The sequence below is a fragment of the Homo sapiens genome, chromosome 11 (assembly GCF_000001405.40).
Source record: "Homo sapiens chromosome 11, GRCh38.p14 Primary Assembly".
Taxonomy (NCBI): domain Eukaryota; kingdom Metazoa; phylum Chordata; class Mammalia; order Primates; family Hominidae; genus Homo; species Homo sapiens.
In genome coordinates, this window is record NC_000011.10 from 44,809,954 (window position 1) to 44,829,853 (window position 19,900).

General features: G+C 49.4%; 1 protein-coding gene across 7 annotated transcripts in view, besides 6 other annotated features; it reads left to right on the forward strand.

The window, feature by feature from the left end:
* The window catches only part of TSPAN18 (tetraspanin 18), a 206,114-nt gene that overhangs the window by 83,644 nt on the left and 102,570 nt on the right, over positions 1 to 19,900 (forward strand). The gene's annotated exons all lie outside the window — the stretch shown is intronic.
* Positions 9,095 to 9,264: an enhancer, noted in NCBI's record as "experimental_21423 CRE fragment used in MPRA reporter constructs". NCBI's record gives its function as "activates a minimal promoter by MPRAs in K562 erythroleukemia cells, with activity observed for the introgressed 11:44840684 or rs56318887 variant allele {active_cell/tissue: K562}" and the evidence as "EXISTENCE:reporter gene assay evidence [ECO:0000049][PMID:34662402]".
* Position 9,180: a transcriptional cis regulatory region, noted in NCBI's record as "Neanderthal adaptively introgressed variant 11:44840684 (GRCh37/hg19 assembly coordinates) or rs56318887 in the experimental_21423 CRE". NCBI's record gives its function as "modulates activity of the experimental_21423 enhancer by MPRAs in K562 erythroleukemia cells {active_cell/tissue: K562}" and the evidence as "EXISTENCE:reporter gene assay evidence [ECO:0000049][PMID:34662402]".
* Positions 12,706 to 13,571: an enhancer, noted in NCBI's record as "H3K27ac-H3K4me1 hESC enhancer chr11:44844210-44845075 (GRCh37/hg19 assembly coordinates)". NCBI's record gives its function as "activates a minimal SCP1, AML or CMV promoter by ChIP-STARR-seq in naive H9 embryonic stem cells {active_cell/tissue: H9 hESC(naive)}" and the evidence as "EXISTENCE:reporter gene assay evidence [ECO:0000049][PMID:30033119]".
* Positions 13,572 to 14,436: an enhancer, noted in NCBI's record as "OCT4-NANOG-H3K27ac-H3K4me1 hESC enhancer chr11:44845076-44845940 (GRCh37/hg19 assembly coordinates)". NCBI's record gives its function as "activates a minimal SCP1, AML or CMV promoter by ChIP-STARR-seq in naive and primed H9 embryonic stem cells {active_cell/tissue: H9 hESC(naive and primed)}" and the evidence as "EXISTENCE:reporter gene assay evidence [ECO:0000049][PMID:30033119]".
* Positions 14,045 to 14,339: a silencer, noted in NCBI's record as "tiled region #8132; K562 Repressive non-DNase unmatched - State 22:ReprW". NCBI's record gives its function as "represses a minimal TATA promoter and a strong SV40 promoter by Sharpr-MPRA in K562 cells {active_cell/tissue: K562}" and the evidence as "EXISTENCE:reporter gene assay evidence [ECO:0000049][PMID:27701403]".
* Positions 14,437 to 15,302: an enhancer, noted in NCBI's record as "OCT4-NANOG-H3K27ac-H3K4me1 hESC enhancer chr11:44845941-44846806 (GRCh37/hg19 assembly coordinates)". NCBI's record gives its function as "activates a minimal SCP1, AML or CMV promoter by ChIP-STARR-seq in naive H9 embryonic stem cells {active_cell/tissue: H9 hESC(naive)}" and the evidence as "EXISTENCE:reporter gene assay evidence [ECO:0000049][PMID:30033119]".

A 19,900-nucleotide genomic window follows, 5' to 3' on the forward strand; every position in this document is an offset into this window, starting at 1 on the left:
GAGGAGGAAACGGCGCAAAAATGATTACCATAGGTCATAGGGTTAGGAAGTGATGGAGCGAGAGTGGACCTGGAGCTCTGGCTCAAAAACCAGTGCCTTCATCCCGTATTACCCGTTTGCCTTCATATCATTGGGAAAACTCAGGCTTTTCTTGCATCTTTTTTCTTTTTCCAAAAACCATTTATTGAGGTGAAATGCACATAACATACAATTAGGCATTTTAAAGTGTGCAATTCAGTGGCATTCAGCTCATTCATAGTGTCCTGTAGCCACCACCTCCGTCAAGTTCCAAAACATTTCCATCACCCCTTATCCATCAAGCAGTTTCTCCCCACCCTCCTCTTTCCTCAGCCCTTCGCAACCACCAATTCCTCTTCCTTCTCTATGGATTTACCTCTTCTGGGTAGTTCATATAAATGGAGTCATACACTATGTGGCCTTTTGTGTCTGGCTTCTTAGCATGCTTTCATGGTTCATTTCTGTTGCAGTGGGTATCAGAACTCCATTCCCTTTTGTGGCTGAATAATATTCCATAGTATGTATATACCATAATTTGCTTACTCATTCATCTGTTGATGAATATTTATTTCTATCTTTTGGCTGTTGTGAACAGCACTGCTATGTTTGAGCACCTGTTTTCAATTTTTTTTCTTTTTTTTTTTTTTTGAGACAGGGTCTCACTGTGCCACCCAAGCTGGAGTGCTGTGACTCGATCTCGGCTTATGGCTCACTGTAACCTCCTCCTGGGCTGGAGCCATCCTCCCACCTCAGCCTCCCAAGTAGCTGGGACTGCAGGCACATGCCACCACACCCAGCTAATTTTTTGTTATTTTTTTGCAGGAAGGGGGTTTTGCCATGTTGCCCAGGCTAGTCTCGAACTCCTGGGCTCAAGTGATCTGCCCGCCGTGGCCTCTCAAAGTGCTAGGATTACAGGTGTGAGCCACCAAGCCCAACCTGTTTTCAATTCTTTTGAGTATATAGTGGTTTCCTCATATTTTAAAAGAACAGGCAGAAGCATGTTACACTGTCATTTCGTAGTATGATGTAACCAGTAGGCATTTCTAATTAAAGAATTGGCTGATATCCGTCTCATCCCAAAACAATAGCAGGCTTCCTTTTCTACAAACACAGTTGAAACTCTTTTATATCCCTAGTCAATAACTGGAGTTTTAACACACACACACACACACACACACACACACACACACACACACACACACACCCCTGCCTGTGCCTTCTCATACTGTAGCCACAGCTTTTCCACTAGTTGTTGTCCAACTGGGAGATTGCACCTCTGTTGATGTTTATTCACATAATCTGATGTTTTGTTTTGTTTCGTTTTGTTTTTTAACTGCCTTCATTAGATAGTCAGCATCTATCTGGATGTGATAAGAGAGAGGGAGGGAAAGGCACACTCTACAATTAGCCTTGGAAAGGGAATCAGAAATGTAAGCACAATTAATCTCCTAGTGATAAACTCCTTGATGACATGTACCACATTTTAGGATTTTTTTTTTTTTTTTGAGATGGAGTCTCGCTCTTGTTGCCCAGGCTGGAGTGCAATGGCACAATCTCGGCTCACTGCAAACTCCACTTCCTGGGTTCAAGTGATTCTCCTGCCTCAGCCTCCCGAGAAGCTGGGATTACAGGCACCCGCCACCACACCTGGCTAATTTTTTTGTATTTTTGATAGAGATAGGGTTTCACCATGTTGGCCAGGTTGGTCACGAACTCCTGACCTCAGGTGATCCACCCGCCTTGGCCTCCCAAGGTGCTGAGATTACAGGCATGAGCCACTGCACCCGGCCTATGTTTTATGCTTTTTAAAGAACATTTAGCCCTGAGTGTAAAGTCAGGGCTCTGCAAATATTTGTTCAAGGAGTTAATCACAGCACTATTTTGATGTGCTGACAAGTTCCTTAATGAAGATGGCTGCTATTGGTAAAATTAGGAACCCCCAGGGGGAGAACAGAAGGGTCAGCTCATTCCCCGGGATGACAGCTGTCCCAGTTAGCCCTGTGAGTGGGCAGGGCTGGCAATGCCATATGTTGCTAGTGGTCGACTTCGGTGGAAACAGGCCCTGTGGTTTCCTTCTTTCATCACTCTCAATGAGTAATCAAACACGCTTACCTCCCAGGTCTCTGCCAGGTGGGCCTGCAAGCTGGGGGCATCCTCCGTCCTGTACAGCCAGGCAGGTCTAACCAAGGCAAAGAGCATGCACTTTGTAGATCTGCAGGCCTGGGTTCCAAACCCAGCCTGGCCACTTCCTGGCTGTGTGACCTGGGGCAAATGACTTAGCCTCTCTGGGCCTCAGTTCCCTGATAGGGTTACAGGAGTGATGACATGAGTGCTAGCTTGTAATGTGCTCAGCGAGGTGCTTGGTGCATATTAGGGCTCAGATCTGTGATTGTTGTTACTATGCCCTTTCCCTCCTTCCTTCCTGCTGTGTGTATGATGTAGGACCTTCTTGTGTCTGATGTGTAACTGATGTTGCAGTTAAACTAAAAGAATCCTCTGCTGTCATGGAGGGCAGTCCAGTGGGGATGACGCATAAACAGACTCACAGAGGGGGCACCACGTGCTGCTGGAACCCAGGGGAGGTGGTGCAAACTCTGATGGGGGCCCATCTTCACAGACTCCCTAGTCTGGTTCCTAGAGAATGAATAGTGGAAAAGGTGGGGCTAACATTCCTATTGCCCATCCACTGACCCCACCCCCAAAGGGTGCCAGGGATCATTAAGGCACAGACCAGGTTCATGAAATAGCTTTACTGGGCTCAAAGAGATGCTGCAGGATTCTTAGCTAAAGCGGGTATCTGAGGGAGGGAGAGGGGGTGCCACGGGCTGCCCTCAGGCTGTGATGCTGCTTTGGCACCATTGGGGTCCCTAGGGTTCCTAGGAATGTTAAGACAGACCAGTGTACATACACACACACAGAAACACACAGAGCACTATTGCTTATTTGCCCTGAGAAAAATTAATGCTTCATGTGTTGAATGAGGGAGCAAAGCCCTGTGTCTGTGTGCGGCTCCCCGACACCAGGCCTGCTCTTTCTGGGGCCACCCATAACCCTCACCTTGCAGCAGCCTGCTGGCCGTCTCTCTGTGCCCAGCTTCCTCACTCTCCCAGGGAAAGGGCTGCCTTGATTTCTCCCAGTCCTGCCAGTCCATTCCTGGCCTCAGCGGCCTGGCGCTTCTGTCTCCTGCAGGCCAGGCACCCGGTCAGGCTGCTTCTGGAGAGATGACCCTGAGCAGGGGAAGACCATCTGCATGCCCTGTGCGCAGGAAGCCACAGGCCACGGCATGAGGACAGACACAAAGGAGAGGGTGTGCTTTGAGTGGATATGGGCCAAATCCTGGCTTAGTTTTCACTGTGTGATCACGGCAAGTCAGGGAACCTCTCTGAGTCTTGGTTTCCAGAGGGGGAAAGTGGGAATCATGATACTTCTTGCATTTGTGGGGTTAAAACGATGTATATAAAGTGCCTGGCACAGTTCAAGTGCTCAGCACACGGTGGTTATGAGCACAGTGTGAGTGAATTGGAGACAGTCTTACCCTTTCTCATGTCCAGGAGTGGCTGCCAAAGGGCTCTTGAAATTTCCACTCAGCAGGCGCTGCTGGGAGTAAGACCTCTATGAACTGGCTTTGTGCCCCTCCTTGCTGTGTGACCTTGAGTAAGACACTTGGTCTCTCTGAATGAGGTTAGAAACGGGAATTGTACAACCACTATCAATGCCAGGGTCCCAGCTGCATGCATGACAAAAATACACTTCAGAGGCTGTTATTTTGCAAGAGGCACAAAACCTTGCCTGGAGAGGCCCAGGAAGGAGTGCATAGACCAGAGGGCAGACTATCACAGAGGGCTGAGCTGAGCAGCACAGAGCCCTCCTGGGTCCTCTGCACACTTGGGATCCAACCACGCCCAGACCTGGAGAAAAGCCTGCATAATGCAGGGGCCAAGATGTAAAAATAAAAATCAAGGGTGCAGAGATCCTGGGAATGGGGCCTTGGAGATAGATCCTTCAGGGATCGTTGAACTTTATAAAGCAGCAAAGCCACTTTTTCAAAGGAAAGCCCAAATAGAAAACAGACAAAAGCAAGAAAGGAGTCCTCAGGCAGTTTAATTCTTCATTGTTTGGTGGAAAATGCCTCATTGTTTGTGGCATCTCTGCAGAGAACCAGAATGGAGGTTCCCAGACTTCATTTCCTTTACCAATAATTTTTTAAAAAAAGTCAGGACTGACATCTGCATCTGGTTGCCAATCTCTTCCTGTTGCAGAATAAGGATTTTTTTTTTAAGATAACAATCATCCCTTATCACCATTATTTCTTGGAAGAAAGAATATTTGCCCCTCTTCCCATCCCCCAGATAGGAAGGACTGGGCTTTACAATGAAGACACGTGGCTCCATGAAAACTCACTGTCTTGTCTTGAGTTTTCTCATTTGCTTATTTGAAAATCACAACAGCAGAGCAGGATGTGTGAACCCCTTCCAGAAGGTTTCCAGCCACATGGTTTGAAAAGCATTGACTAGTCCCAGTGCCTCATTTTGCAGATGTGAAAACTGAGATCCTGAAAATAATACAGTGCACTCAGCAACACTTTGTGTCTGTGCCATGCTATGCACCAAGCCTGAGTTAATACTGGGGCTTCAGAGAGAAACACCATCTAGGAGGGTCCCAGAGGGAGTTGGTGGTAGAATCCATCCATCCATCCATCCATCCATCCATCCATCCACCCACCCACCCACTCATTCATCAATGGTAAATGGTGTGGCCACTACAATAGACCAGCCAACCAGGAGTACAAGCTATGAACAGGGCCTACAAGGTACTGCCTACTGGGTTTAAAGTCTGATAGAGCAGGCTGCTAAAACTAAAGAAAGCAAGTACATAAGATAATTTCAGAGAGTAAAAAGTGATGCAAAGATGATGAAATATGATAAGATGGAAGGGTGACAATGGGGGCTGCTTGGGTGTGTCCCTCTGATGGGAGAATATTGTGCAAAGAAGACCTGAACCATGAGAAGAATCTCACTATGCAGAGAGCTGGCAGAAGAGCATTCCAGGCAGAGGAAATGGCAAGATAGAAAGGTGCTTGGCGTGGGAGCATGGCAGTGGGAAGATTAGAGTGGCAGATGGTGAAGCCAGTCAGAGGCTTTACTGTGGGCCTAGGAAGGGCTCAGCAGGCAGGCAGCTAGGCTCCCACCTGTAATGTAGGGCAGGCACTCCTGGGGGCTTCCAGGCCCCACTGGGACCTGCCTTCTACCTTGACATATGGATCCAGGCACAGACTAGAGTGATCCACGGGCTGGATGCATTTCTCTCCTCATTTCTCAATCCATCTTGTGTCGAAACAAGGGACCAAAATGAGCCCATGTGCACTCCCAGAAGATGACTAAGAATGGAGAGGCCAAAGGCTGACTTCTTCAGCTCTGCTGCTGATCAGCCCTTCCTCAGGGGTGGCTGGACTGTGGGCCGGATGGGGGCACCCTCAGGGTTAGGGTGTGTGGTCTGGAGGCCTGCCCAGCCGAGGTGTGTTCTTTTGTCCCTGGAGTGTGTGGTGTGTGAAGGGGGGTCTGGGGAGTTGAGGGCTGATGGGATTTGGTTACTTGCTCAACAATTATGTATTGAGCACCTACCCTGTGCTGGGGATTGCTCTAGAATGGCCCCAGGGATACCATGGTGATAATGATAAATACATACATGCCTTAGATAAACTCAGGCCATGGTGAGTGCCCACAAAATAAAAGGAGCTCATGGAGCATGATGGAGGAGTAGGGAGGGTGCGGGAGACTTCAGCTCACTGGGCAGGGGCAGCTTCTCTTGGAGGAGCGGGCAGTTGAGAGCAAGCTTGACAGCCCACCAGCCATGTGTCATCAGGAGAAGTGTGCCGGGCCGAGAGACCAGTAAAGGCAATGAGGTGGGCACAAGAGGAGGCTGGGTGGCTGGGCAGAGGGAGCAGAGCAGATGATGGAGTCTCACGGAGCCTTCTCCCCAATATATCCAGAAAACAAAATCAGTGTCCGTGTGCAGCACAAATGCAGTGGGGAAAGCACCAGAATATAAAAACCTGAGCTCTTATCGTGCCTTCCTGTGTGACCTGGGGCAAGTTTATTGCCCACTCTGGGCCTTAGTTTCTTGTCTGTAAACAAGACTGCTGGACTGGAGAAGGGATGATAAATCACTTTTATTGTTAGCGCCAATGTAGACCAATGATTAGCAGCTGCCAAGGCACTGGACTGAAAAGGTGCACGGAGCTCCCTTCCAGGTGGATCAGCAAAGAGTACTGTAATCGATTAGTGATGTCTGCCATGGGTGAGAACCAGGAGGCAGTTGCATGTGTGCCACACATTTGCCATTCCTGGGTCACCCGCAACTGAAATTGTCCAGAGACTGCATTGGATATGCATGTGCTTGTACCAGCTTCAGCATCTGTGTCTTTTCCCCTCTGGTTCATCAGAATCGAGTGCTATGTGTGCTCTGGCACAGATGAACATCAGAGAATAATAGCAGCTGATGTGTGATGCTGCCTCTGTGTTGACACCAGGCCCTGGTGCTCATAACCCGTGCAGTCCTCCCAGCAACCCTGGGAGAGGATCTTAACTCCTCTCTCCATACATGGGGATTGAAGGCAGGTGAGGGCCCACACATGTTCAGAGACTGCACCCTGAGAATTGCTTGGGGAATGAGTTGATGAGAAGCTGGTGCTGACTGGTAGCTTCTCCCATGTCCTCCTGCTTTCTCCGAGCCTGCCTGACTCCAGTGAGTTCTGCCTCCAAATGCAAGTGAGTGTAGACTTCCTGGGGGAGTCTGCTCCCAAGCTGCTGCTGTCTGGGTGCAGGAAGGAGGTGGGCCATGGTGCCTCCTGAGCAGGAGGAGCCTGGCAGCTTTCTTTTCCAAGCTGCTGTCTGCCTCTCCTCTTCCTCCATTGCACTTCTGTTCTGTCCCTGCCAAGGAAGAGCAGTACAGGAGAGTGCCAGGCCCTGGTGAGGCAACTTTCTGGTCAGGGAATCCTGTGGCTAGTTGGGCTCTGGTGCCACATGTGCAGTGAGCTACTGGAGCTAGCGAGGTGGGGCCACTTGAATGAAGGCTTCCTCTCAGGGAAGTGTGAGGCTGGAGGCGAGGAGCAGGGTTGGGGGCCTGCTTAGCTTCCCTTTAGGGATGCCCTTGTGAACACCACAAGATCAGCACACGGAAGAGGCAGCTGATGGCATGCACGGTGGGCCATCCTGGGTTCCAGCTCTGGCTTTGCTGCCTGCCCTCACTGTGAGCTTGAGCAAGTCACTCAACCTCTTTCTCAGAGTAAAATGGGATTTATATTGGTTATCACCAAAGTAATGCCACATAACAAAAGATTCCAAAGCTCAGTGGCTGAAACCAACGTTTACTCTCAGCTCAAGGGCTGTAGGCTAGCTGCCACATGGCTGGGCTGGCCTGGCCCTAGGCTTTCGGCTCCAGGCTTGGCTGCAGGTTGTGTTGATGTCTGCTCTCTGTGTCTCTCTTCCTCCTTGGGCCAGCAGCTGCCTGGACCCTGTGGTCAGCTCTACGTGTGTTTATGCTGCGACTTAGGCTGAAGGGGCAGTGGCTACTGAGATTTTCTTCTCACAGCAATTGACCAGAGGCCAAGAAGACCCTCCCAGCCTTGGGCACAGTCATGCCTCTGCTCTGACATCCCATTGGTCAAAGTAAGTCATGTGGACAGGGCCAAATTCAAGGGGTGGACAGTCACTCCACCCATGTGAGGCTATAGCAAGAATGTGGGTGACTCATTGTTTTATGGAGAGGGAAGACTTGGGAACCCTAATTCAACATGCCACCAAAGTGCAGAAGGGCTTTGATACAATACATGGTGTCCAACCCATCTACTTCACAGACAGGAAATGAGGCTCCAGGAGCTGAAGTCACCCAGGTCACCTGACCACTGTGGTCCAGGCACTTCTGCCAGTGTGGTTTCATTTCATCCAGCTGGACAACAGTCCTCAGTGGGAACTGAAATTATTCCTGCTTTGTAAATGGGAGGTCTGAGGCTGGAGAGGAGAGGCCTGTAGCTGAGATCACCTATCCAGGAAATGGGGCTGGGGTAGGGATCTGCAGAGTTCTGATTTTTTTCCATGTTGATTGCTAATATCTGTTCCCATTAGCCTTTAAGCCTGTGTTAAGTCAGGAGAGCAGGGAGCACTGGCCTGCAAGTCAGGATATCCCACTTTTGCAAATGGCTAGGTGGGTGATGTGGGCAAGTCCCTGTTGTTTAACTTGGCTGGTGCAGAACTGACGGTGAATGGCAGGAAAGCCCATTTCCCTCCACGGCCCTGCCCATGCAGCCCTCCCTGGGCAGGGGATGCTATTTCTATACATCCTCCAGGACGCAGCCCTCCCAGGGCCCTGACCCTCACCTTCCTCTGTCCCCAGCTCTGAAGCAATGGAGAGCCTGGGGCCAGAGGGCCAGAGGATTTCCTGGCTCAGCACCCCAGCTGTCCAGAGAGCATCAGCAGGGGCCCGATCCTGTGTCCTTGCCTGGGTTCTCTGTTTCCAGCTGATCAGGGCAGATGAACAGGTGGCCCAGCGTCCTGCATTTGTCTGAGACCTGGCTCCTGGCTTCTCTCCTGTGTGCCCACTTCACTCCGGGAAGAGCTAGAGCATCCCCCATTCCCCTCTGCCTGCCTGCCCTATCCCCACATCTTCAATCCCCCAGGGCCGGGAAACACAGTAGTCAATGTCTGACTGTTATCCTTGCAAGGAAAGGGAGGAAGAAGTGAACAGTTATGTACTGACCGCTCATGTGCCAGGCCCTACATAGCAATAGTTATTATATTGAAAGAATAATATATGATATAACATGTCCTAGATGAGCCTGTCATATAAGGGGGGAGTCCTGGCTGGGGCTCAAGGGGCCTAGGCCTGAGTTCTGGTCCTGCCACTAACAGCACGTGGCCTGACTTCCCTGAACCTATTTCCCCATTTGCCAAATGGCCTAGGTGATCTCTTACGTCCCTCCCAACCCTGGTAGTCCAGGGTTGGGCCAGACAGAACCCTCCTGAGTAAACAGCCTGGCCATTTGCCTGTCTCCCCAGGTCCCAGTTTCATGGATTGTTTAGAACATTCCCTGGAATCTAAGCCACGGACGCGCCTGGTGTGCGGATGTGGAGCTGGATCTGGGGAAGGAGTCAGGCTGCTCTGAGCCCCCTTCTGTCAAGGCTGCCTTCAGGCGGGCTCTTCTCTGGAGTGGTTTGGCCCCATCTTGCCTTTGGCCAGGGATTGCTGCCACCTCTAGGCTCCTGCTCTGTGCCCCTGGCTGGGAATTTGCACCCACGCAAGCTGCTGAGTGCTAATGAGAGGAGCCGGTAATTATAGGGACTGGAGTTGGGAAACTTGACTTCTGAGGAATAGATATTGGGGACAGCAGAAACGGCTGCATTTCAGGCTAATCGCAGGGGCCCAGGGAACTTGCTCTGTGTGTATGTTGGGAAGGGAGGTGGACTGTGCGCATGTGCATGTGTGTCGGGTTCTTTAAAACTGCTAATTGTCAGGGTGAAAATATTTTCACACATTTGCTCTCCAGGAGAATGTTATTATGGTGCACACTGGCAGCCTCGTTGAAGTCAAACGGCACAGTCAACATGGAACTCCTAATTAATAGACGCTCATGCTGCTCTTGGGCACGGCAGTGGAAGTAATTATCATGATTTAATTGACTTTTCTCCCCTCTCTTATGCACTCTGCTTTTTCCATTTTCTTGAGCTTGGAAGGCTTTTTTTTTTTCCTCTTTCCTTTCCTTTTTTTTTTCTTTATGCATACTGTCTCTCATGCCAGTGCTCTGTCAAATCCTATTACAATAAATATTGTGACAGCAAAAATCTCTATATCACAGAAAAGTCCAGAGCCTGAGCCAATGGCTTACTTATTACTTATTACCTTCTGTTGGTCTTGTAAAGGTACAGACAGATCCAGGCAAAGGTGTCTGGCAAGGGGAAAGGGAGTTGATTTGCTCAAAAGTTTTGGTTTCTGAAAGCTCCCTGGGACTAAGGACACAGAGAACCATCTGCACTAGCGCCGGCCAAGGAGGGTTGCTGTCAAGGTCTAGTCAGGGCTTAAGGAAATCCAAGGGGCAAAACTGGGACACCTCTGAGCCCCTGCGACCAGCAAATGGAAGAATTCTATCTCTGGCCAGGCTCCTTCAGGGTGGCCCATGCTCTCTGTGCTTTGACTAGCGTGTTCTACTCACTCATGATAACCTTGACCCAACTGGTGCCTGCGCCACACATTCTCATGGGTTTCAGTTAAGTTTCTCATAGCCAACTGGCCAGAGCCCTAGGAGCCTCCCTATGCAAACCTGAATGCCTCTTGCTGTTAGGTGGGGCCTTCCACACCCAGCCATGCCTTCTGTTGCTAATGGTCAAGGGGTGGACTGCTCTGGGCACAGGCGTCCTCCCTGGTCCAGTCATCTGTGGCAAGTGGACAGGGTCATATGGTGCACTGTCCACTTCTCAGAAGCTATGGACAGAGCTTTTTGCAATAGATGAGACTGTGGGAGGTGCCACGTGGCACTTGAGAGCTAGACTGTTTGTGATTGAATCCTGTTTTGGCCACTTGCTGTGCATTTTTGGGCAAGTTCCTTAAACTTCCTAAGCCTTGGGATCCTCATCCATAAAATGATACTTTCCTAGGTTGTCATGAAAGATACATGAGTGATATGGTTTGGATATTTGTCCCCCCGCCCCCAATCTCGTGTTGAAATTTGACCCCCAGTGTTGGAGGTGTGGTGGAGTGGAAGGTGTTTGGCTCATGGGGGTGGATCCTTTATGTCATGAATGGTTTCGTGCCCTCCCTGCAATAATGAGTAAATTATTGCTTTATTAGTTCATGCAAGAGCAGGTGTTTAAAGGAGCATAGCTTCTCTCTTGCTCCCTCTCTTGCCATGTGACATGCCTGCTCCCCCTTCACCTTCTGCCATGAGTAAAAGCTTCCTGGGGGTTCACCAGAAGCCAGCCAGATGCTGTGCCATGCTTGTACAGCCTGTAGAACAATGAGCCAAGTAAACCTCTTTTTTAAATCAATTACCCAGTCTCAGGTATTCCTCCAGAGCAATACATATGGACTAATACAATGAGTTGGTGCTTGTGATACACCAGAGAGGCACTCAATAAAATGTTAACTTTTAGGGTGCAGAAAGATAGATGAGGCGGCTGCCAGTGTCTGATTAACAAGTGGGAGCATGCTAAAATCACAGACATCGAACATTGCAATAAGCCTGAGAGATCATCGAGTTTAACTCTACACTCCTCAGTGTACACATGGGAAACTGAAGCACAGAGAGGGGATGTAGTCCTTTTTAAGGTCAAATAATTTTATCTAATAGGATATTGGACTGTTTCTCACGGGGCTAAAATTAGGGCCAAGACATTTCCTTGGGTCTCACTGGAGATTATTGAGAGTGGTTGACTTTTAATTAGAACATTACAAACAGTAGAATCAGGAAGAAGAAAAGATGAACCTGCGATTGTTCTGTTTCTTTGTACCCATATTGGGATGATTAGTTAAGTGCATATTAAGGTTCTGGCCTCTCTTGAAGTACATCATCTTCATTATTTTTCTCAGATAATTTCTCTGTGGGGTCAGTGGGTGAGATGACACTCATCAGCTATGTTATTTTAGACACTTAGTTTCTCTGAGCCTGAGTTTTCTCATCTGAAGAATGGGGATATACTTGACCCTACTTGGACTGAAAGCCATTCAAGGTCAGGGATGGTTTCTTCTTCACCTCCTCTTCCTCTTCTATATCCCTGACTACAACATTGTCTAGCACACACTGGGCTTCTGCATAAATTTACAGAAACTAACTAAATGATCCCTCAAGGTAGTAGAAAGAGTCACGAGGAATCAGGTCTGTGGACAGGTTGTGTGGTCAGCTTGGCTGTGCTCCTGAAAGGTGGGGCCATTTGTACAAGAGCTGAGGTTCCAGAATATCAGAACTGCAATCTCGACTGTCGTGGAGGAAGGGTGACCTTGGCTGGGTCTGCTTCTGAGGATGGCTGGGGGTGAAGGCCAGACTGGAGGAGTTGAGATGTGAATAGAAGATAGAGAAATGGCAACAGGAGGTGTAGCCAATTCCTTCGAGAGGCCTGGCTGTGACAGGCAGGAAAGGTGGGGTGGGGGTACAGGGATAGGGACATTAGAGAACTTCTGTGTGTTGATGAGACAGGGCCAGGGATAGGAGGCATTCAGTAAATAGTTCCCAATTTAAATGAACTTTGATATGGGGGTCTTTCTTAACACTTTCAAGAATGGTTGTGGGTAAGATGATTGGTAATAACTGAGAACCAAAACTGCTAGTAATGGGTTAAGGCAGTGCCAGATGCTGCAAGAGGTAAACCCAGAATCTCAGTGGCTTAATACAATACACATTAATTTCTCACTCAGCGACAATCCAGTGAAAGTGGTGGGTGGCTGTCCACACAGTATTTTGGGTCCCAGGTTTCTTCCATTTTCAACATGTGGCTTCCAAGGTCATTATGGAAGAAGGAAGGAGTAAAGAGGGCTCACTTATTTTCTCATCACATTCTCACCAATGATAGTGGAAGTGACTTGGGCGTCACTTCCACTATCATTGGTGAGAATGAGTCACATGACCACATAGGTGCAAAGGAGGCTGCAAAATGTAGTTCCTGGCTGGCTAGCCCTTCCCAGCCACAGCCCTAAAGGGAGCATCCCAGTGTTTGGAGGACAGCCACCCTTCTGGAATTACAACCCCCTTCAGCTGTCCTTCCCCAAAGGCTGAGGAGACACAGGCTAACTCTGGGAAAATGTCAGACCCCAAATGAAGACCAGGACCCTGCTTCTGAGGACAAATGACATAAATCATTGACCTGGGCTTCACTTTCTCCAATTGTATAATATAAGTCCTGCTAAACCAAGTTAAGGGAATTAAAGGGACTGAGGGTCTCACATGTAGGTGGAGCTGAGTTGATTCTCCCACCAGCTGTGTAACATTGGGCAGGTTTCTTAGACTTTCTGAGTCCTTGTACAAATTCTCCCTGACTTGCAATGAGGATCAGCAAGACACTTCTGGCCTATAGTCAGCCCCCAGTGAATGTGAGCTGCTGATGTTACTATCCAGGTCATCACTTCATTCATTACAACATTGGAAAGTGACACAGAATTTTTCTCAGCCACTTTGCCAATCAGGGACCTCCACGGCCGGCAACGCCCCCCCACTGCCCAGGCCTTGCTCAGCCCCAGGCCTACCACTAGAGGCACCCTGCCCACTCGGCCTGCTTGCGTTATAGCTTGTACCCACATTTGGTGGTTCTGGAACTCTTGTCCTGTGTCCAAGAAGAATGAGGATATGCTGACAATTCAAAGGGTGAGGATGGGTGGAGAAGAATTTTATTGAACAATGGAACAGCTCTAGTGGAGAGGCGATGCAGCGGGGGGCTTTCTCTCCCCCGAAGTCGGGTGGTTTCTCTCCTAGTGTGGCTGGGTCCAGGGCTTTTTATGGACTCACAATGGTGAGTGCATGCCAATTGATTTAGGAGTATGCAAAAAAGGTTAAAGTAAAGACACCACTCAAAGGTGGGCACAACAGTGTAGAAAACCAATTAGGAAAGGGTAGGTAAGTGTAGAATAGGTTAAGGGTGGGGATCAATCAGAGGAAAGCACACCAGACTGGAAGACAGGTTCTCAATCTGGTCCATGGATTTGACTTGTAGCTTGGCTTTCAGGCTTTAAACTGTCTTCAGCTTGGAGGTGAGGTTTCACCGGGGACCTGCCCCTATTTGTCTCCTGCTGCTATCAAAAGTAAAGGTCCTGGCTTAGGTTTAAGGCAAAATGAATAGAACTGATATCATCATGTTTTTGTCATCAGCATTTCCCATCACCCTCTGAGACAATCAGAGAAGCTCATTTGAGTCGAGTAGCTGGTGGAGGGAGGAAGAGAATATGAAAGAGGCCCCCCTCTCGGAACTGGGCACCACTCATACCGGAAAACCAGGATTTATGGAGCTTATTTCTTGTCTGTCTCTGGAAAGAGGTACTAGAGTCCCGTGCTGTAGCCAGTCGCTGGGAATCGGCTAAAAAGCAAGGCTTGGTCATGACCGCCCCCAGCTCCACCTCCTGCTGTCGGGGTCTTCCCTCAACATAAAGCCTGCCTCGCTACCATCATTGAGGGTTTGGAGTTCAGGCCTTTGAGGGATCATTTGTTTCTTGAGCTCAGTCTTCAGAAACCTCTGGTGCTTTTGAATTTCCCCTCCGCTAGGGAAGGATGGATTGGCACCCTGCCCTCACCCCACACCCCTCCTAGCTGTCACTATGTAGTATTTTAATTTATTGGTCCTGGCTATTCATTTGTCTTGTTAATTTTTTGCCTGCCCTCTACCTTAGCTAATCAGTTGGCCTCTTTGGGGGGCCTCTGATCACCCACCCCCAACTGGGGCTGGGGGCAGGGATAGGGGATGTGGTGGCCTTGATGTCTTTGAGGAAACCAAGCTGTGTGGGGGAGGGTCACTGGGAAAGTTCAGAAAGGAATGCTTCCCTAGGAGGGGCATTGGCCATTCTGCCCTAACCGAATACCTCTGGGGCAGTCAGGGCCACCCTGTGACCTCCAAACAAAGCTGGGGCCTTGTCTAGGGCTGTGGGAAGCCAGACAGGACAATGGGAGGAAGGAGAAAGCAGGGAGATAAAGCCAGGGGCCCACGGGCCTGTGCCTGGGATTCCAGAGGCCGGCTCCTCACATCCCAGCCGCGGAGGCCTTCAGAGTAAACACACTGGGCTTCCTGGCTCACAGGGCCAGTGCTGGGTTTTAATTGTGGCTGTTATTGTTGAGATAATTGTTCAATTTTGGGAGAAGCCGGAGAAAGGAGAGACTGTGTGTCTGATGCTTCTGCGGGGATGATGCTCTCATTCATTCATTCACTCATGCTACAGATGTTGACTGGCACCAGCCAAAGGCTTCGCTTGGGGCTGAGAATGTAAAAATCAACATCAGCTCATCCTTGTCCTCCCTACACCCTTCTCTGGTCCTAGACACAGACACTAAACCCATCCTCCCAGTTCAGTGTGGTCAGACAACAATAGGGGCATGAAGCTGTGCCAGTGCTGGAGCTTTACCTTCCTTTTATAGGGTGCTAGGTCAGAGCCCCCTCCCACCACCCCCCACCACCCCGAACTCGGGGAGGAGTTCTGACCTGAGTGCTCCTGCTGACTCCTGAATATCAAAGGAGGGCAGAGCTCCCTTTTGATCTCTTCTCTTGACTCCAAACTGAAGGACACGTAGAAGGCAACATGTTAGAGCCTGATGTTTATCCAGCACCTTCCATGTGTCAGAAACTGTGTGAGAGCTTTTGCAGATCACCTCAGCGCAGCCAAGAACGGAGGGCTGACTTTTTCCCCATTTCACAAATGAGAAGACTGAGGCCCCACCAGGTTGAGTAAATGGCTCAGTTCACATTATTAGGAAATGGGCAGCCTGGGTGGGAGCCCCGGTCAGTCTGACTCCAGTGCTCTCAAGCTTCTCCCTGGGTCCTGCCACCTTCTGCAGTGTGCGCCCCGATTCACTGGTGGGCTCTCAGGCTCCAGCAGAGGCTGAACCTCTCCTAGAACAAGGCTGGTCTTGCCTGACTTGATGCATCCCAGCGGGACCCCTCCTGTGTGAAGTCTCCTGACAGACTCGAGCTGGAAACAGGAGTCAGGGGCCATGCAGCTATCTCCTTACAGGTTTCAGGGATGTTGCCGTCTCAGCATTTGAACCTGATGGAAATGTTGAAGCGGGGGTTGGCTGGGTTTTGTACACCCAGGGCCTGTTTTCTTAGACAAGGCCATTTCACGGATCCTCAGACGTCCCCAGTTCACAACAGAGACCCTGGTGGGCTTGTTTCTCCATGAGTGTGTTTAGGGTTGGATGCTCGCTCTGTCTACTGTCTACAGGCCTTACAGGACATGCAAGGCAAGGCAGCCTCGAAAACCAGGGTGTGGGTCCCCACTCTGTCCTCTTTCTGACTGTGGGCCTCAGGCTGGGAGCTTCTCCTCTCTCAGCCTGCATTTCCCATCATTACAATGAAACAAGGATAAGATCTACCTTACAAGGCTGGAGGAAAGATAGTGGGAGATAGGGGCCACACTCTTACACCACACACAAAGTGAGGGGGCCATCGCAGAAAGGAAGGCTTTCCAGCAACAGGCAAGGCTAAAAGAAGGGCCGGACGTGGTGGCTTACGCCTGTAATCCCAGCACTTTGGGAGGCTGAGGTGGGCGGATCACCTGAGATTAGGAGTTCAAGACCAGCCTGACCAACATGGAGAAACCCCGTCTCTACTAAAAATACAAAAATTAGGCTGGGCATTGTGGTGCATGCCTGTAATCCCAGCTACTTGGGAGGCTGAGGCAGGAGAATCACTTGAACCCAGGAGGCAGAGGTTACACTGAGTCGAGATGGCGCCATTGCACTCCAGCCTGGGCAACAAGAGCGAGAAACTCTGTCTCAAAAAAGAAAAGAAAAAAGTTTGCATTTGCCTGTACATGAAGGGTGGATATTTTTGGATCATCGTCTGTATGTCTATCGCCGGCAGGTACCACTGATATTAGCACCTAAGCTTGCTGTGTGCCAGGCACTGCTCTCAGGGTTTTACCTGGCTCATCTTGTCTCACCTGGTTTAGAGATAAAGAAACTGATGCACAGCATGTTTAAGTCACTTGCCCAAAGTCACACAGCTAATAGGTGGTAGAGCCAGGATTTGAAACCAGAAATGTCAGACTCTAAAGCCAAAGCTCTTTACGCTGCAGGCCTTGCCTCTGGATGTTTGTGTGCCCTTGTGGATAGACACACACAGGGGTTTGGATTCTGCACAGAGCCTGAGTCAGCCGTAGTGTGGGGAGTGCCTTGGGGAGCCTGGGGTAGGGGCAGGATTTTACTCTCTTTCTGTATAATGTCATTTCTCCTTTATACACTTTTTGCCCTCCCTGACCTGTTGGTGCCTGTGCCCAGCTTACCATAGTCTTATGTGATTGGGGGCAGGAGGGACTCTGTCTTCTACATGTGAAGGCATTTGGACTCTTGGGTGCTTCCTGTTGTGGCCAAACCAAGAGCCTTTTAGCTCACGAGGGCCCTGACTGGATGTCTGGCCCCTCTGGGCTGGGCTGGAGTCTTGGGTGGATCCCGCCAACTCTGCCACTGCGCTCCTTCCCGCCTCCAAGGTCACTGCTTACACATGACCCTTCCGGGGGCCTGATGGTTTTCTGGCTGGTTGCTATAATCTGTCCTCTGAGCCTGTCCCAGGAGCTCTAGGCCCCGGAGTTGCTTTTCCAGGTCCCTGATGTTACTTACCTACCACACAACAGGGATCCCAGCATGGGAAGCCAGCAGACGGAACAAGACCAGCAAGCCTTGGGTACCTTGAGCCATAGCTTCCCTTTCTCCCTCAGCCCCTGCTGAGTCTTGGACCCTGAATGTCTGTGCAGACAGGTGTGCCCTACCCAAGCCCAGGCCCAGGCCCTAGAGGAGGGTAGGTGATTCTGCAAGGAGACTGGGGAAGTGCCTGGAGTCTGGGAGGCAGCATAGCCAGGGCAGGTAGGGAAGATGGGGGTGTCTCCAGGTAGGTGATTTCCTTATGCTGAAGGGGGACATATCCCACCCTGGGGTCATCAGGGACCTGGCTGGAATAAAGCCTTAGCCTGAACTCAGGTTAAAATTATCCCCCTTTCAAAATGTGGAAACCCAAACCACTTGTGATTTTGAATACCTCTCAAGAGACCTGTTCCCACTACAAAAGATATCTTTCCATGTGGGAAGCTCAGTGTGCATTTGCGAGAATGGATGCTGAGGCGTTTGGAGACAGGTGCATGAGGAAAGGGCAGTGTGGAATTGTGCAAAAGATGTTGGCAGAGAAAGGAGAGGGACATGGGAAGCAGGGATGGCTGGGTCCTGAAACAGGAGAACTTGGCTGCCTTCATCCTCTGCAGGCTGGGACAGGCCTCCTGGGAGAGTCCAGGGCGCAGGAGTTTTAGGAAAGCAGGCTGTAGACTCCCACCTGGCTGTTTGGTTTGAGCCTTGGCTTCAACCTTACTCATGTTTCCCCACAGGGAAGACTTCTCTCTTCCTGGGAGTTCATGGGCTTTGGACCTTATTGTTATCATTATTATGTTGAGGGTCTTCTGTGTGTAAGCATTGGGTGTCTTGCACAGGTGGCTGTGCAGAGTGCCACAAGGTAGAGGCTGGGGGAATGAGGGTTTGGAGATGCGTATGGTCTTTACCTATGTGAAAGGCTGGAGGTTGAGGTGAAAAATCTAGCTTTGAAATCTTCATGGAGGACTGCATCATTCTGATCCCGAATCCGGTTCAGTTCTCTTATTGACTGATTGCTGCATTAAAAATGGTTTTTTAATTAAACAACAACAACAAAAAAAAAGCTGGCAGAGAGATGGAAGCCTCGATCTTCCATGAGCTGGCTGGAGGATCTTGGCAATTCTGATTCGTCTAGAATGGTTTCCTTACCTATAGGAGGATGAAGGGGTGCTCAGGGCCTTTGCAGGGCTGGTATTGCCACAGGTAAGTCCACAAGGCCATAAGCACTGCGGCAGGGGCCCCGGAAAGGTGGTCTGAGCTGAATGCATGAAGGTGAGCCCGCTTCTGTGGCTTCATCTGCCATTGTATGATGGAGGCTTCTGAATCTCTAGCTAGACCTCTTTCCTACACTCCAGACCCCTGGTGTCTGGATGTCCCATGGGTCCTTTACTGACTTAACAGCTTCCCTGACCTTCATTCCCTTCCCCCTTCTGTAGCCCAGCTGCAGTGAATGGAGAGCCTCAGTCCATTCATGGCCCGAGGCCACGACCAGGGAATCCTCCCTGACTCTCCCCCTGCTTCACTCCAGCCCTCTCAATATCCAGCCCATCCCCAGGGCCTTTCCATTCTACCTCCTAAATAGCTCTTGAATCTACCCTCTTCTCTCCATCACGACCCTTGTGGAAGCCACCACTATCTCCTGCCTGGACAACTGGTCTCCCCACCTCTACTCTTGCCCCTCTCATCAATCCCATCTCTCTACTATAACCCAGTTTTAAAAACGAATGTTTATTTTTTAATTTATTGACTTAATTTTTAGAAAAAATTTAGGTTTACAAACAATTCGAAAAGTACAAAGTTCCCAGAGAGACTCCCCTTACCCAGGCACACACATGGTTTCCCTGATATTTACATCTAATATTATTGTGATACATTTGTTACAGTTGAACCAATACATTGCGATTAACTAAAGTTCATAGTTTCCATTAGGGGTCCCTCTTTGCATTGTACATTCTATGGGTTTTGATACCTGTATAATGACATGTGTCTACCGGTACTGTGTCCTACAGAGTAGTTTCACTAACCCCCAAATCCTCTGTGCTCCATCTAACCTTCCCTCCCTTCCTTCTCCTGAACCTCCCACAACCACTAGTCTTTTTACACTCATCATAGTTTTGCCTTTCCAGAATGTCATATAATTGGAATTATACAGTATGTAGCCTTTTTAGACAGGCTTTTTTCACTAAGCAATATGCATTTAAGGTTCCCTCATGTCTTTTTGGGTACGATAGCTCATTTCTTTTTATCCCTGAATAATATTATATTGGACAAATGCAATTTGTTTACCCATTTACCTGTTGAAGGACATCTTGGTTGCTTCCAATTTTTTGGCAATCATGAAAAAAACTGCTGTAAACATTAGTGTGCGGTTTTTTGCGTGGATACAAATTTTCACCTCATTTAGTTAAATATTAAGGAGTACAATTTTTGGATTATACAATAAGGGTATGTTTAGTTTTATAAGAAGCTGCTAAACTCTCTTCCAAAGTGGCTGCACCATTTTGCACTCCCCCCAGCAATGAATAAGAGTCACATCCATGCCAGCATTTGGTATTATCAGGATTTTGG